Genomic DNA, 17,645 nt, shown 5'->3' on the forward strand with positions numbered 1-17,645 from the left:
CAGCCTGGATGACAGAGCAAGATCCTATATCGAATAAAAAAACCCTAAAAGTAAAAAAATAAAACCAGCTTCTGATAGCCTTGAGCCTCCTGACCATAAACCTGGAAGGTGGAGCGGGGAGGCAGGGAGGGCTTCCCCAGCATCCTGTTTGGAATGCTTGGAGACTCCAATATGTTGGAGTTGGAGTCACAGTAGGCAATTTGCACCTGAAATGGGACAACTTGCCTTTTACAGGGTCCTAATTACAGGGTCTGAGGAGCAGCCGCTATTAAAGTAGCATTTGTTCTGAGGTTGAGGAGTTATTGCCCTGCGAAGTGTGGGGGACGCTGATGCTGCCATGTGGGTGATGTGGGGCCAGGCAAACCTACACACACTGGCTGTGGCCTCTCTGGGAGTGTGTATCGTCTGTTTTCTTCATTATTGCCTTTTCCAACTACCTTTTCCTTCCTTTATCCTCCTCATTCCCTCACCACTACTCAGCATAAGCATTTTTAATAAGTCATAATAATGACCATTTTTTTTAGCATTTTCTCTCAAGTGACAACTTTGACCATCTTGCAATGGGACTTTTTCTGTCTTACTAACATTGCTTCTCAGCTTCCTCCTATTTTCTCCTATCCCCTAAGGCTGATTTTTTGAAGAAATTGAAGAATGAAGGGGAGGGATTTGGGGAACAGAAGAAACAGCATTTAACAGCTCTTATCTCATGCAGATTAAGAGCAAAGAAGTGGCATGCATTTCCAACATTTCAGTACTTAGGGACTAGTTGATTTCTTTAGTTATTATATTGTATATATAAGTGTTTTGGAGATAGGCACATTCTGTAGATTTACTTTAATAATGTTTTCAACTGCATTTATCTGGTAATGTATGCTTTTGTCTTTGGAAATGTAGTGTGTTGGTTGTTAACAGCTGATGTTTAGCAAATGCTACTATTTTTTAGAAAGTATTTTGTAAAAGTGTTCTTCTCTATTCAGTTTTTATTGTTTAACTTTAGCTCTTCCTTGTGTTGCTGGTGGTGTACACCAAAATAACTTGTATAATAAGCTAAGTGGCTCCTTTACTTAGGACTGGGCTCATTTAAATGTATATATATATGTATTTTTTTTCAGACTCTGTTGGAACTAGGAGCAGCGTATCTGTACAAATTACTGTTCGTTGAATGAATGAATGAGTGAATAAACATCCATCTCTCCTGTTTAAAAAGAAACAAACCTTCACTATTATTAACTCCCTTAAACCAAAAACTTAATTTGAAAACTCCATAGTCAGCAGTGTTTGTCCCCCAGCTCAGTCTGTGGTTTTGATGGAGACTTTTTAGACCTCCTTTCAAACAGCTCTGGGATTCTGTTTGATTTGTGGTACCCGCAGGGTGGCTTCTGGTCTTTCTCGTCCTGCTCCTCTTCTCCATCTTCACTGTGTCTTTTCCTGTTTCCATCCATTCACTTCTCTTGATGTCACGACATGACACCATGGCCCAGGCTGTGATCACACGAAAACAGGAGTGAGAACTCTTCTTTGTTTATATAGCACCTTTCATCCCTGCACAGACACTAGCTCATTAGTTCACCGAGTCAGACGGCCCTCTTGCACAGGGAAGACATGCCCATGATCCCCATTCCAGAGAAGAGAGGTGAGGCAGTTGCCTAAGATCCCATGAAGGGTCTAAAGTAAACCCTTTGACTCCGATTGAAGTTCTTTACTGGCCTTTACATTTTACATATATATATGTGTGTGTGTGTGTGTGTGTATGTGTGTGTGTATGTGTGTGTGTGTGTGTGTGTGTATAGTTGAATGAATGAGTGAATAAACACGCATCTCTCCTGTTTAAAAATATATATATATATACTTCATCTGGTTCTTTCCATTTACCATTACACATGAGTTCTCTAACTGCTTACTGAGGGCTGACTGTGCCGGGCATCGTGCTTGGTGCCATCCCCTACAGATGCCAGTAGGGCAGCCCTTGTGCCCTTGCCTGTACCTCACAGAGGTCAGGAGGGCTGCTGGAGCAGGTGGCAGGCCCCGCTTGCTGTAAATGAAAGCCTTCCCCAGAAGGATGAGTCTGTTCTGAAGCCAAGGGGCCGCTGGCCTCTAGAGCATCTGTGTGGCAGAGGGTGGAGTCATGGGAGAAATACTCAGGAATCCAGGAGAACTGTCACTTGGGCAAATTACTCACTTTCCTGGGGCTCCTCCTCCTCTATAATAGAAGATCAGGTCCCACGTAGAAGACTTTAAGGGCAACCATCATATACTTCCAGACTTCTAATAATTAAATAATGGAAGTCAGCATTTATTGAGCATTTGTGCTTAGGCTTTGTGCTTTACTCCCAATGTAATTTCATTCTCACCTCAACTTCCTGAGGTGAACAGAGTGATTTCAGTGTCATTTCAGTTTCAAGAAACATACTCAGGGTCACACAGCCAGTAAGTGGTGCAACTGAACCCAGGCTTGTCTCAACAACAAAGCCTGTAAAACTGTCCTATACACACACGTACACACATACACTTGTATTTTAAGCCGTGATTTTGTACATTCTACAGTACACTGTTGTCTTTTTTTTTTTTTTTTTGAGACGGTGTCTTGCTCTGTCACCCAGGCTGGAGTGCAGTGGCATGATCTCGGCTCACTGCAACCTCCACCTCCCAGGTTCAAGCAATTCTTCTGCCTGGGCCTCCCAAGTAGCTGGGACTACAGGCACATGCCACCATGCCCAACTAATTTTTGTATTTTTAGTAGAGATAGGGTTTCACCATGTTAGCCAGGATGGTCTCGATCTCTTGACTTCATGATCTGCCCGCTTCAGCCTCCCAAAGTGCTGGGATTACAGGCATGAGCCACCACATTTGGCCTCTGTTTTAAAATAGTCATTTTGGGAAATACATTGTTTCTGGCTTGAGATTCCTACTTCTATGCTGAAACTCAAACTATTTTTGTTGCCTATATGGAGCCTTTTGATCAATCATTCCTTGAACCATTCTACCGAAGTTGCTTGCTGACACTCTGGTCATAATTCTCTGCTTTGCATTTCCAGGTCATTAAAACACCAATGACCAGCCAGAAGACATTTGAATCTTTGGTAGACTTTAGCAAAGCCCTAGGAAAGCATCCTGTTTCTTGCAAGGTAAGAGTATGGGTAGCTTGGGAAGGAGGTAGTTCTTTTCTTCTTGGACCCTGACTTGTTCCTGGTAGAATTCTTCTCATAGAATGATGTGAAAGAAGGAGCATTGTATACTGCAAGCTTGTCCACATGCTGTAAAGAGCAATCCGTGCCTCCTGTTCTAGTTTGTAGACAGGGAAACTGGACTCCTAAGCCATGCCTAAGGCCATTATGTGGATAGTCTGAGACCTGAATGGAGCTCAGGACACCAGCTGAGTAGAAGACACGGGACTGCTCTCTGTCCTGGCTTTTGTCTCCTGATGAATGGCTGCATTTTCATAAATGATTTTAGGTACAGCTTGGTAAACACATACCTCCCTAACAGAAAATGAGGGCTTTACTTTTGCAAGAAATACTACAGATGGTGAAATAAATGATAAGACAGTGAGAGAGCAACCTGCCAAAATAGCAATAAGGAACCTGTTTCTCACCGGGAAGTTGCATTATGTTTTTATTGTTTGTTGTTTTGTTTTTCAAGAAGCAGCATGGTTTAGTGGGAAGCCTGCTTGACCTCCATCTTTTTTTTCCCCTTTCTTAAGCTGCCCAGTTATTGTATATAAAATAATCCCAGTTGCTGAAATGATAACCTACCTGAAGGTAATTATTTTGATTACCTTCAGTTTCTCCATTTGCTTTAGTTCCTCTTTAGTTCCCCCAAAACTCGGGGACTATACTTATGCATGACTTTGCAGTTTTTCTTAAGGGGTAGTTGTGTCACAAAATGCTACACCATTACAAAGATTTACATATAAGTCATCTACTTTTTTTTTAACTGTAATCCTTTGTATCATTATAGTTCTCATAGCAAACTTTTGCTTTCTAAAATATTCTCGAGTTTGAACTTACAGTACTGTACTAACCCATGAAAAATCATGTTGTTCATGAATCACCTGAAGAAGCCATCTGTTGAGGTGGACTCCAGCAGCCAAAGAGAGCAGGCTTGTGTGTCCTGCTCCTCCCCGTCCATGGGTAAAGTGTTGTTAGGGAGTCTCATGCTTTAACACCCATTTTTTGTTTGTTTGGTTCTGTAGTTTTAAGTCATCTAGATTTCTAAACTCATATTAATAATTGGATGTTATGATTGTACTTTCTTACGCAGTTATGCTTTGTTAGTGGAAGAAAGTAGTAATGGTATTGAAAAGAACATCTGTGCAAGACAAAAAGATATGGAAACAGAAGTACAGGGAAAAGCTAATGATTATCTTCAGCAGCATAATAATTAATCTACAAAGTAATGATTCAGTCTTCCATCAGAGTGGCCACGGCAGCTGCAGAGATGGGAACTCTTTGTTCTCATTAAATTATCTTGTTAGGTCATTCCAGAACTCTCTCTGTGTGGTATTCTAAGGGCTTTCAGAGGGTCTTTCTGGGTCAGTTATTGAAGCTCTTTATGAGGCATCTGGACAATATATGGCAACTACATAGGACAAGGGTCAGCAAACTTCTGTAAAGGACCAGATAGTGAATATTTTCAGCCATACAGTCTCTGTTGCAAGTAGTCAGTTCTATTGTTGTAGCATGAAAACAGCCATAGACAGTATATGCAATATGAGTGTGGCTGTGCTCCAGTAAAACTTGACTTACAAAAACAGGCTGTGGGCTACAGTATTGTACTTTACCAATACTTGACATAGAAGAGGGGCATTAATGTGCCTGGAATGTGCCTTCCTAGTGAGACTTCATGAGGGGATTGTGGTATATAGGTTAAGGGTATGAACTAGCCCAACTGGGTTTAAATCCTGGTGCCGGCACTTATTAGCTGTGTAACCTTAGGCAAGCTACTTAACCTCGCTGTGCCTCAGTGTCCTCATGCTTCACATAAGGATAATTATAGTACCTCTGTCACAGGGTTATTATGAGGAATGAATAAATTAATATTTTTAAAGTATTTAGAACAGTACCTGGCACACAGTAAGTACAGTAAATAAAATGTGTTTAATAAATAATCTGAAAAATATGAATTTGATTACATAAAATAAAATTACTTTATTTAAAGATTGTGTCTCCTGCTAGGCACGGTGCCTCACGCCTATAATCCCAGCACTTCGGGAGGCCAAGGCTGGTGGATCACTTGAGCCCAGGAGTTCGAGACCAGCCTAGGCAACATGGCAAAAACCCTCTCTACAGAAAAATAGCTGGGCATGGTGGTGTGCACCTGTGGTCCCAGCTACTTGGGAGGCTGAGGTGGGAGGGTCGCTTGAGCCCAGGATGTGGAGGCTGCAGTGAGCTGAGATCATGCCACTGCACTCCAGCCTGGGCAACAGAGCAAGACCCTGCCAAGAGAAAAAAAAGACTGTGTCTTTTCACATTCCACCAATATACTGATAGCATCTGTCTCTCTGCATTCTCAATAGCATCAAATATTATTACAGTGGGGGAAAAACCTTTGATAATCTTGTTGGCAAAAATGCGTATTTTTTTGATTACTAGTGAGTTTATTTATTTATTTTTTTATTTTTCGAGATGGAGTCTTGCAGTGTCTCCCAGGTTGGATTGCAGTGGCGCAATCTCAGCTCACTGCAACCTCCATCTCCCGGGTTCAAGCGATTCTCCTGCCTCAGCCTTCTGAGTAGCTGGGACCACAGGCGCGTGCCACCACACCCGGCTAATTTTGTATTTTTAGTAGAGACAGGGTTTCACTGTGTTGGCCAGGCTGGTCTTGAACTCCTGACCTCATGATCCTCCCGCCTTGGCCTCCCAAAGTGCTGGGATTACAGGTGTGAGCCACTGCGACTGGCCAGTGAGTTTAAATATTTAATGAGTCTTGGCACTTTTTCCTTATTGAGCTCTATGAGCTTTTTCTGTAGAAGATATTAACTGTTGGAGCTTCATGTTCTCAGGTACCCTATCTTGAGTCTATAGTGAACCTTTTGAAGTTGAAAAGAGTATTTTTGCCTCAATTATAAAATCTGTATTGTTCCATAATCTTAATTAAGCTGATAAAACTTGTTTGTGCATCTTTGTGCTCATGTGGCAATAGATGGGGTTAGGGCTTGGTTTCAGTTTGCCTAGGGTTAAAGGAGGTTCACATCCTTTGTGTTACTGTCCAGTTTCCCCGCATGCAGTCAGGTTAGCTCTGTGAGGAGTGCCTGGTCATCTGTAATTCAGACATTAAGGAAGTACCTGGTGTGTGCTAGAAACAGAATGCAGAGTTCAGGCCAGGGTGAGGATTTCTGCCCTCAGGAAGATCACAGCCTTTTGACAAAAGAGGAGGCACCATTTGCCTAGTGGAAATCAGCTTCAACAAAAAAATCACCTGCTTTTCTCTACAAGTCCCCGGAAGAGATCAGTAGATAAAATCCAAATCCCACACCTGTCCTCCAGAGAGATGATTATTGTTAGTTACTGAGAAGGGAAATGGATGAAAGGCATATGTGGCACAGGGGTCACCGCAGGATGCAGAGGTCTTAGGGGGTGTGCCGTGAAAGGCCAGCTCTCTGTCAGAGGCTCTGCTCCTTTGTCGGAGCACGTGCCCTCAAGTCAGCTCCACTGCAGTGTGCGCTGGAACCTGAGAAGTTGCTGAGTAGCCGAGGAGTGGCTCCAAGGAGCCTGGAAAGCAGTCCTCCTTTGAGGACCATTCAAGGTGGAGTGTGACGTTTTGTCGATTCTTGAAAGGGAATTGGGAGGAAAGAGGAGGAATAAAGGGATGGGTGTAGGGCTGTGTGTACAGCATTTTATGTGTTTTCTGATTTATCTTCACAACTTTGAGACAAACTGTCACCCCCAGTTCACAGATGATGAAACAGATTCAGAGTGACAGAAGGACCAAGAGAGTATTCAAGATTGAACCCAAATCTGTCTCTCCCAAAGCCATGCTCTTCCAGGTCACACCTGTGCCTTGATCTGTCTTTATGTCAGGATCTGTGCAGTGGGGCATCTGGGTTTGAATGTTTTTTTAAGTACTATGATTGTTGGATAAATTGTCATATGAGATAGAAATAAGGCCATGCTGCAAATTTTGAAAATGTACAGCTTGATAAATGGGGGCAAACATGATCCAGGGTAAGAAGGGGCAATTTGGTGACTTCACAAAAGATACCATTTAATGAAAATTTACTAGTTTTTTGTTTTTCTGTCTCCCAAAACAGGACACTCCTGGGTTTATTGTGAACCGCCTCCTGGTTCCATACCTCATGGAAGCAATCAGGCTGTATGAACGAGGTATCCTTCTGACCCAGGCCAGGAGCAGCAGACCTCAGCTCCTGGCGCCACTGTCTGGAATTCTCAGTGTCTCTAGGAGGGGTCGGGCCGTGCACAATGGAGGAAGCAGTGTCTGTTTTCTAGCTTTGTGAGCTCAGCTGCACCCTGAGCCCTGGTACCTTTTTCACTGTTTTCCCAGGGCCTCCTGGCTTCCCTGTGGGCCTCTGAGAAAGGTTTCTGGAACTCCCACCACCCCCACTACAGTCCCAGCCAGAGCAATTGCATGGCCGGCCCAGATTGATATCCTGGATCTCTGCTTTTGATTAAAAGGTTTACTGCTTTTAAAAATAATCATAATGTAAAAATCACTAGGCTAGGAGATCTTGAAAGTTCCTTAAGGTTCTAAAACTTGTGACTGACAGGTGATTAGAAATATGTGACAAGGCCGATATGTGGTAAGGACAGTTTTTAGTAGTCTGTCCTTACTGAGTGATGTCATGATGTACTTTTTGTAACCTTAAGAATGGTGTAAACAGTTTTCCTCAGTACTTGATTGACAAAGAATGCTTTTCTCTGCTGTAGAAATATCAGATTTGGGACAGGGTCCAGGCCTCTAAATTGATCTGCATTCTCCTGCCTGCTTTCCCTCCCTGGTTTCTGGAAAGGTAGCTCTCATGTCTGCTTCAAAGGCAAACAAGCCTTAATAGGACTGGATAAAAAGCAAGTGTAATTGTTTTCAATTACTTCATTCATAAATGCTCACTCCTGAGAGTGTCATTTTTTAAACAAAACATTTACACCAGCTCTTCCAGAGAGATGAAAGCACATTTGCTTCCTCAAAATCTGCTTTAAATATTAAAACTTTTCTCTATGGTTTATGGAAGCAATTGCCTCACTTTTGCTCCAAGATCAAACCAACAGTTCTGGTTTATCTATCAACAAATATGCCTAATTACACCTCAAAGAAAGCACAGAGCATTTTACCCTACCTTGAAAGGCAGTTGTATGTCTTTTTTTTTTTTTTAACAAAATGTAATGTTTTAGAATGTAGCATGTGAGAGATCCACCTTTTAATGGTGTTTTCCTCACTGTCCATTTGATGCATTCTCCAATGCACCAAGTATCAGATGGTAAGTTGAAAGCCCTCTTCTTGTCTGTGGTCCCTTTCTGCATAGGTGCATGCCCTTTAGCCCTCACCATCCCTGGCCGCCTGTGGGCTGAAGCTGGAAGAGCAGGACCTGGCCTCAGGACATGCTCTTAGCTTGCTCTGGGCATGGGCTTCAACAGCCTATCATTGCTGGTCCCTCTGCTTCTTTTTCCACCACCTTCTCAGAATCTGCTTCTGAAGTTGCTGGGTGTCCTGCCTGGGGTGGGTGCTGCTTCCCTACTGCACACTACAGTCACACCCTAGGCCTCTTACCATGTCCCCCCGCCCACCACCTGCTCCCTCCTCTCAGCCAACACAGAGGAGTGCTCAGAGCATGCCCACCGTGCCATCTCCGTTCATACAGTTCCACCTTGAAGCTTCAAGCATCTGGAGGCTCCTTCTCGTCTGCCACATCTGTTCATCACTTTTGATTCCTTCCTGTCATGCCTGTTCCACCTCTTCATCCCACCTTTTCCCCATCCCAGTCAGGCTGCCTTCATGAGGTTCCTTAGGTAGCAGAGTAATTCACGCTACTCATGTCTTTTCCTGACTGGTCCCCGCTACTGCACTTACTGAGAAAGTATCATATTGTCCAGGAAGTTGAGACACCGCCTACTGCATCTGCCCACACACCCCCTGCACAGCCTCGGCAGGAGCTCTGTGACTGTTTCTGAACTCATGCAAGGAGAAATTTTCTGTACCCCACTGTTGATACACCTGGGGTTCCAGGCACATGGTTTGGCCAATGCTGCCTTGAGTGGTGCAGGCTCTCTGGAAGGATGTGTGTGCTGTTGTAGGTCAGGCCTCCTGGATGACCGGGCCTCTGCCACTAACACTTCTTGCCAGTCCCCATGGGATCTCGTGGAGGCTCACGCCCTTTTGCTCTGCTGTTTGTCCACTCATTTTGGCTTCCATGTTGGGCCTTCTTTCCCAGTATCCCAGCTCCGTCCTCACTCTTCCTATTGCTCTTGTTCGTTCACACTGTGACTGAGGCCTGATGCATGCCCCAGTCACTGTCACTCCTGTGAGTCAGAGGGACAGAGGCTGGATAGGCTGTGTCTGACAGTGGACTGCTGCCCTTGCCAGGCACCCACTCCTAATGGCCAGTGTGGGCAGGATGGTGGGGCCAAATGGTCAGCTCTTCTCAGGAGGGCTCTGCTGGCAACAGGCCTGGGAGCACCATGAGCCTGCCCCCCAGTCACCATGTGACATCTTGCTCACATTGTCGCCCCTGCTCAAGACAGGCTCAGTGGTTCTCTGGTTTCCTGCCATCTACAAGCTCTGCCAGAGAGCCTTCCTTCTGGCCAACCTCTGCCCCTGCTGTTATCACCGCCAACTACTCCTGCCATTCCCACGTTGCCCCACCTGAGTGTCTGCAGAGCTCCCAGCTGGACATCATCTCTGTCATCACAACTCTTCTTGCTTTGGCTCTCCCTTGGGTCACTTGTCACTGTCTTCCCTGTGGCATGGCAGGTGTTTTCTTTCCCTTACTATACTCTCTTTTCTGGGGCACTCTGGCTCCTCCTCATCTTCATATGTCCCAAGGTGCTGTGTAGGGCGGGCACATAGGCAGCTGCTGATGAGTAAAAATGCTGTTTCTGAGTTGTTGCTAAGTGCCTCTGTTGTTCATGCTAAGAATGGTTGGCAGGTGGTGCTGCTGAGCCAGACAAAGAAGCAGATGTTGGGCAAGTCCCAGCCCCTCAGCTGTGCTGATCTGGAGTTCACTGAGGAAGCTTTCCTTTGCTGTCTTGTCTGGAGTTAGGGGCTCTTAACTGGAGGGAGGTAGGAGAGGGTGTCCAATGAACCTCCTAAAGTTGACGCAGAATTTGGGTTATATGTGCATTTTTTATGGAAAGGGTGTCTGATTGTCAGAAGTACTTGATTCTAAAGAAGTTTAAGAATTATTAGTTTAAAACATGATTCCACATCTAACTGTCACTTGGCACACCAATCTCTGTATTTTGTTTCTCTGTTTCTGAAAGTTTGCCTCTTTTGCTCTGCATTATTGAGAACACGATCTTTAGAGTTGGGCTGACTTTGTAGAGTTATTTAGATATTTTTCTATCATGTGCTGTATCTTCATATTATTTCTTGAAATAAAACAGTCCTCAAGTGAGTCTCTGAATATGGAATTACAGCGTTGCTTCTAGGGTTAATTGTCCTGTCCTTGAATATAGATTTCATTAAATGGCTTTAGCTGAGTTGCAACCATTATGCTGTCAGATTTCTGTCCCAGGGAGACTGCCAGTAACAAATGAACCAGTACATAAGCATGTTAGGTTGTGATGAGTAATTGTGGAGAAGAAGATAGTAAGGGGTGGCAAGAGTCTTGTCCTAGTGTCCTGGCCTTTTCTTTAGTGCAGGGAGTTGCTTTTTTTATATATGCAGGGAGGAGAAGAGGCTGTCAGAAGTATGACACCTGAGCAGAGGCCTGGAGGAAGTGAGAGACTGAGCTCCGAAGCTGTCTGAGGGCAGCACCTAGGCACAGGGAGCATATCCCAAGCCTGAGGAGCCTGTGAGGCCGGCACTTCCAGCATTCCAGGGCTCTACCAGCACAGAAGCTGCGGGGCTTCCTAATGAAATCCTCTGAGTAGAACCCACTTTTAAGCTTCATAGCCACACCCCAAATATGCTGTGTTCCTTCCCATTCCTGCCTCTGCATGTGCTGTTCTCTCTACCTAGAATGCCCTTCCTGGTCTGCTCATCTCAGGATTATCTTCACCTTCCAGGACCCAGGCATGGGGGTGGTTTTGGTGAAGCCCTGGCAGTGTGAGTAAATCTCTCCATCTTTACTCACACAGAGCTGTGTGAGTCATGAATCTTCAGGTCTTATTATGTTGAAGTTTTTGGCTTACACATCTGAGTTCTCCCATTATGTCATGAGTACCTTGAGTGCTTGTCTGGTTTATCTTTGTCTCATTCTACATCTCTGGTGCCTGCTACATAATGAATAGAAGTTGAATGAATGAATGAATGAATGACGCTGCCTATATGATTATTTTTGTTTCTTTGCTTTCTTATGGCCTAACACTCAAATCATGATTTCTCAGGCGTCTCTAATCCTAATTAGTGTAGTTATTAGTAATGTCAACCATAATAAATAATTGTGGTGTATTTTAGTCACCTTAAAATGCCTTGAAATCCTTTGGAATTACTTTAGTAATTTATTTGCTTTTAAAAATATATCTTCTTTATCGATGTTTAAGTAGTTTCTCTCTGAGTGTCTTAACATTTTTCCCTCTTTTCTTTAGCTTTGATCTGATTGACTTCTTAATGCTTTGGAACAAAATTCTAGATAGCCACCTGTTGCAGACTATTCTACTTTTCTGATTTCAAAGAAAGGGAACAGATTGTTCTCCATAAAGGCCTCTTGGGGCCAAAGGACATAGTAAATTTCCAAGGGAAAAGCACATTGATCCTTGTCGTAGTCTACTCAACAGACTTCCAAACGTGTGGTGATTCTAACTCGGGTTTGGGCTTTTCTTTAAAAGGTATCTTGACTAAAAGGTTTGTGTGAAATGTGATGCCAGGGGAATACTCCTTACTTGTAAAACCCAAAAAACTGGGGGAAAGAATACATACAATAACTATACATACAAAAGCAGAAAGCTTAGTTTTCTTTTTAAGAAAGTTTATTTATAAATCAAAAATATGCTGTAGCATTAAATTATACTTTAATAAATGATTCCAGAGTTGGAAAATCCCAATGTATTTGAAAGTAGCTGAAGTTTCAGGCATGGAGACTTCTGTCTCCATGAACAGGGTATCAGTACTCCAAAATTCACCTCAGTGGTGCGTAGCTTTGAAAATCTTGGGCCACACACTGTGGCTTACACCTGTAATCTTAGCACTTTGGGAAGCTGAGACGGGAGGATCACTTGAGGTTGGGAGTTTGAGCCCAGACTGGCCAAATGGTGAAACCCTATCTCTACTAAAAATATAAATATTAGCCTTGTGTGGGGGCGCACACCTGTAGTCTCAGCCACTAGGGAGGCTGAGGCAGGAGAATCACTTGAACCCAGGAGGCGGAGGTTGCAGCGAGCCAAGATTGTGCCATTGCACTTCAGCTTGGGTGACAGAGCAAGACTCTGTCTCAAAAAAAACAAAGTCTTATGACCTCTTTGGCATGTACTTTAGAGAGGAAATCTTACCCAAGCCAGAAAGTCTCAGTCTAGGCATTTTTTTTATTGTGCAAGCATATAAAATTCTAGTAATTCTGGGGCTAATCCTGTGATAGGGAGAATTCAAGGAAAGGTGGTGGTGACCCAGTGCTGCCGTTTTCTCCTTAGGTGACGCATCCAAAGAAGACATTGACACTGCTATGAAATTAGGAGCCGGTTACCCCATGGGCCCATTTGAGCTTCTAGATTATGTCGGACTGGATACTACGAAGTTCATCGTGGATGGTAGGAATTGGAATTTTTTGTTGTCTTTAATTGAGGTAGTTTTTCTGAACTGTAAATTATAATGCCTTTTTAAAAAAAGTTAGCAGGGGTCTTAATAAAGACCTTCCAAAATCCTGCCTCACCAGGTTGAGAATTCATGAACAGATGTCAGGAGAAGGAAGAATGTGACTGTCTAGTGTCTCTTTAACAGGGTGACCTTGAAGAAAAAAAAACCTTTATGGATTCACAGGAAGTTACAAATATAGCACAGACAGGTCTTGTGTGTGTGCCCTTCACCCAGTTTCCACCAGTGGTTATATAGCCATAGTACAATATTAAATCCCAGGAAATTGACACTGGTACACTGTGTTATCACATCAATAGATTTGTGTAACCTCCATTGCAAGCAAGATACACATCCATTTTAAAAAATATATCCATTGTAATGTAAAAGCTCTGAAGACAGGGTAAAAATAATAATTAAAACTGGACTACTGAAGTTGAATGTAGCTATCTGTTCCCAAGTTTCACAGAATGCTAGTTGAAGAATTAAATTTTGAATCTTATGTGGATGCAAAATACCAATGGCAGGAATGCAGATTTTTTAACGTGTATTCTGAAAGTTAACTGTGCCAGTGATGAATCCAACCAGCAAATTAATGGCTTCTGTCAGTGTACTTGGGCCTTTGGCCGTAGTGATTTCTGAGAAGACACTGGATAAGCAGGAGGACCATAGTAGGGCCAGGCTTCAGGCAGCACAGGTGGGTGGCAGTGCAGCAGCTTTGGGGCTGATGTGGCTGCACCAGCACAGCCTTCCTTGGTGCCTCTGCAGTGGTGGCCGGAGGGGCGCCATGCCTGGGGGGCTCTCCCACATCAGAGGCAGGCCTCCAGACTTGTCCTTGGAAATGCCAAGATGTAAAAATAAACCCAGCACTTCATCCTGAGTTCTCTTCCCTCCGCTCAATAGGGTGGCATGAAATGGATGCAGAGAACCCATTACATCAGCCCAGCCCATCCTTAAATAAGCTGGTAGCAGAGAACAAGTTCGGCAAGAAGACTGGAGAAGGATTTTACAAATACAAGTGATGTGCAGCTTCTCCGGCTCTGAGAAGAACACCTGAGAGCGCTTTCCAGCCAGTGCCCCGAGTGCCTGTGGGAATGCTCTTTGGTCAGACATTCCCTCACACAGTACAGTTTAATAAATGTGCATTTTGATTGTAATCTATCGAAGTGATTATTACACCAGTTACAGCAGTAATAGATTCTCCATTAAGAAATAATTCCCTTTTTTAGTCTGTTCATTTCTGTGTATTTTCTAAACAGCTTTACACCCTTGGTGCCTTGGAGCAAACATGTTTTTTGAACCTTGTCATTTTTGTGAAGAATTGCCTAGATTCCTTCTCTCATCAACGGGAAAGTACTTCCTCTGAGAGTGCGAGTGCACCATGCTCACTGTTGCTGCGTGGGAGAGTCACAAGCCACTGGCAAGCAAGTGGTATAGTCTGTGAAGCACTGCAGCGAGCAGCACCTGGATCTTGCCTTTATAAGAACATTTTACTACCTGCAGCTTTGAGTCTTGCCCTACATTTTGGGCATGACATAAGATGTGTCTTTATTCAGCTCGTCGTGAAGATGCTGCTGCTGAATGGGTCAGCATATCTCTGTTTGCATGGTTTGCAGGAGGTCGGTTTTCATGGTCATTCAGTTCCACAGATCTGAATGATTACTGTCTGTCTGTGTCTTTTTTCCATGAGAAATCACTGTTGCAAATTGCCTATAAATTGACTCTACTAAAATAACAATGTTTCAGTCTGAAAATTTGAATTGAAAAAAATGTATAATATAAAATTGTAATACACTCAAATGATTATAAAAGTAAAAGTTGGTAATTTAGGCAGAAGCTATTTCTCCTCTTCTTTGACCTGCTGTTAATTTTTAAAGTGGGAGTGACGGGGAGGGAATGGCAGGACAAGGCATTTGTGTAAAACCTGCCTGGGGCCGTCGCTGCCAGATTTCTTACCAGGAAAGCAGTAATAAGGGCACAGAGAACAATTTTTAAGGAACATCTGTTTCTTCTTTGCCAACAAAGTGAAGTAGTGTAACGTAAGCTTCTTTTAATCATTGGCTTAAGAAAGTGTCTTCCAAGATAGAATTTTGGAGTTGGAAAGACATCAGAAATCCTGAGGTCCAATAGCCTCATTAGCAGAAAGCTTAAGGGATGTGCCCAAAGTCACTAGATATTTTGTCACATAGCCTAGACTAGAACTAGGTTTTGATAAAATTAAGTACAAAATAGCCCATTTGAAAATCTCCGATCCAAAATTTCAGACAGGACTCTCCCTAAAATGGGCATCCTTGTTTGGTGTTCTGGGTCATAGGTCTAATAGTCAAGAGATTTTTTTTCTTCATTTTATGACTGATAAAAGGGAGCTTATTAATTTTAAAAATTTTGAATCTATAACATAGTGGGAAAATAAATACATCGGTGCATTTGTACCGCACATAGAACCTGGGTAGGACACTTTTAGGTTATTCTTATAAAATGCTGCCTAACGAACCAAAGGAAGCACCTGTGAGGCCACCCGCATTTCCATCGCTAAAGGTTACCCTTGTGGTCTGACAGCTCCCTGCTCTCTCAGGCTGGCTCTTGACCTTTGGCATGAGCCCTGGGCCTAAGTGGGGGCTTCACTTCCTTACTGTCTCACCAGAGTCCCCATAGGATGCAGGCCCTTGTCCTGGAAATGGCAGGGTTCTTTCTTGACCACTGAATTCCAGGAAAGATGTAACTCAGCAATGCAACTATCAGACTGCCGGGATGAGAAGGTAGGGGCTGCAGCAGTCTTTCTGGCTGGCATTTTAAAATACACTTTAAGCCTACCAAATAGTCAAAAGGCCTAGCCTCTCAATATCCTTTTATCGTTTTCAAAAAATATTTTCCATGCACCGTGTTTGGGACCAGGAAGGAATTTTGAACATCCTTCCTTTAGACATGGGAGGTGAGGGAGTAGCTTTTTCTTTCCCAACTCCATGTCTCTGCGTTCTCAGGTGAACGTAGCTGCTTGCCACGGAGAGCTCTTGGGGCGGGGGGAGGGAAGGTCATGTCAGTCAGGTTCTCTGCTTCCAAATATAGGCCCGCTGCTGCTGTTTGCTTCAGTCTGTGGTTAAGAACTGAGCCTCAGTGAGAGCCCCAGGTGCCTTGCATCATCCTCCACTGTGTTTTGGCAGCACTTGTTCAAGAGGGAGGGTGGGTCCTGGCAGTGCTGCTGGGCCTGGTGTCACTGCTCTTGGTTCTCCTCACCTCCCCAAACTTGCCTCCTAACCGTCATGAATCTTTTATGACACTTGAAAGTAAAGACCAAGTTTTAGGTCAAGAGGATACTTTTTTTTTTTTTTGAGATGGAGTCTTGCTCTGTCGCCCAGTCTGGAGTGCAGTGTTACAATCTTGGCTCACTGCAACCTCCACCTGCCAGGTTCAAGCAATTCTCCTGCCTCAGCCTCCCGAATAGGTGGGACTACAGGCGTGTGCCATCATGCCTGGCTAATTTTTTATAGTTTTAATAGAGACGGGGTTTCACCATTGCTGGCCAGTTTGGTCTTGAACTCCTGACCTCATGATTTGCCTGCCTCAGCCTCCCAAAGTGCTGGGATTACAGGCGTGAGCCACCGTACTTGGCCACTTTTTTTCCTCTCTCCTATGCTTCCCCTTAGTGATATTTTTATTTATTTATTTGTTTTTTGAGACGGAGTCTCGCTCTGTCGCCTAGGCTGAAGTGCAGTGGCGCAATCTCAGCTCACTGCAACCTCCGCCTCCTGAGTTCAAGCGATTCTCCTGCCTCAGCCTCCCGAGTAGCTGAGATTACAGGCATACATCACCACGCCCAGCTAATTTTTATATTTTTAGTAGAGACGGGGTTTCACCACGTTGGTCAGGCTGGTCTCAAACTCCTGACCTCGTGACCCACCCACCTCAGCCTCCTGAAGTGCTGGGATTACAGGCGTGGGCTACTGCACCCGGCCAGTGATATTTTTATTTACCTATAATACAAGTGAAAGTTTGAGATTAAGAAGAAAACCAGGCAACTTATGAGATGACTTGCTGAAAAAGATGGTGAGCCTCTGATAGCCATCACCTAGACTTCAATTCTGTTTAGTAAAATGGAGTTCTCTGAAGGATCGTTTTAACTCAAGATATCTTTGTAAAATGAAAATCATGGCCCTTTCATGTTCTTAAGATTCACTGTTAATAGTAGTTTTTCTGGGGAAAATGGTTAACTTTTTCTGACATCAATTGTAAAGCGTATTTCCACTTTGGGAACTTCAATGACACAGCGTGGGGGTAGGTGGAACCATGTCTTGGAACTCGGAAACTACTATGAACAAATCCGGTGTTAGAAAATACTCTCAGCTGGGTGCAGTGGCTCATGCCTGTAATCCCAGCACTTTGGGAGGCCGAGGGGGGCAGATCATGAGGTCAGGAGTTTGAGACCAGCCTGGTCAACATAGTGAAACCCTGTCTCTACTGAAAATACAAAAAATTAGCCAGGCGTTGTGGCGGGCACCTGTAATCCCAGCTACTCAGAAGGCTGAGGCAGGAGAATCGCTTGAACCCAGGAGGCAGAGGTTGCAGTGAGCTGAGATGGCACCATGGCACTCCAGCCTGGACAACAGAGCAAGACTCTGTCTCAAAAATAAGAAAAAAAAAAAAAAAAAAAGAAAATGACTCTCCACTGGGTTCCGTTAATAGTAAGTGTTTTGACTAACACATCAGCTTTCAGAAACCCATTTGAGATTCAACTAGTCATCATTGGAGAG

The 17,645-nt window shown here is 43.9% G+C and overlaps 1 protein-coding gene across 4 annotated transcripts in view; it reads left to right on the forward strand.

Moving 5' to 3' along the window:
* The window catches only part of HADH (hydroxyacyl-CoA dehydrogenase), a 45,283-nt gene extending 30,550 nt beyond the window's left edge, over nt 1-14,733 (forward strand). For 2 of the 4 annotated variants that reach the window (NM_005327.7, NM_001331027.2), the window contains exons 5-8: nt 3,036-3,125; nt 7,250-7,322; nt 12,738-12,854; nt 13,801-14,733. In NM_005327.7, coding sequence (NP_005318.6) covers nt 3,036-3,125; nt 7,250-7,322; nt 12,738-12,854; nt 13,801-13,919 — 399 coding nt within the window. In that variant the 3' untranslated portion in view covers nt 13,920-14,733. Of the gene's footprint in view, nt 1-3,035; nt 3,126-7,249; nt 7,323-7,500; nt 7,632-11,888; nt 11,940-12,737; nt 12,855-13,800 lie in introns of those variants that run through there. The other 2 variants (NM_001184705.4, XR_007096395.1) reach the window with 2 other exon arrangements.

This window comes from Homo sapiens, chromosome 4 (assembly GCF_000001405.40).
Source record: "Homo sapiens chromosome 4, GRCh38.p14 Primary Assembly".
Lineage (NCBI taxonomy): Eukaryota > Metazoa > Chordata > Mammalia > Primates > Hominidae > Homo > Homo sapiens.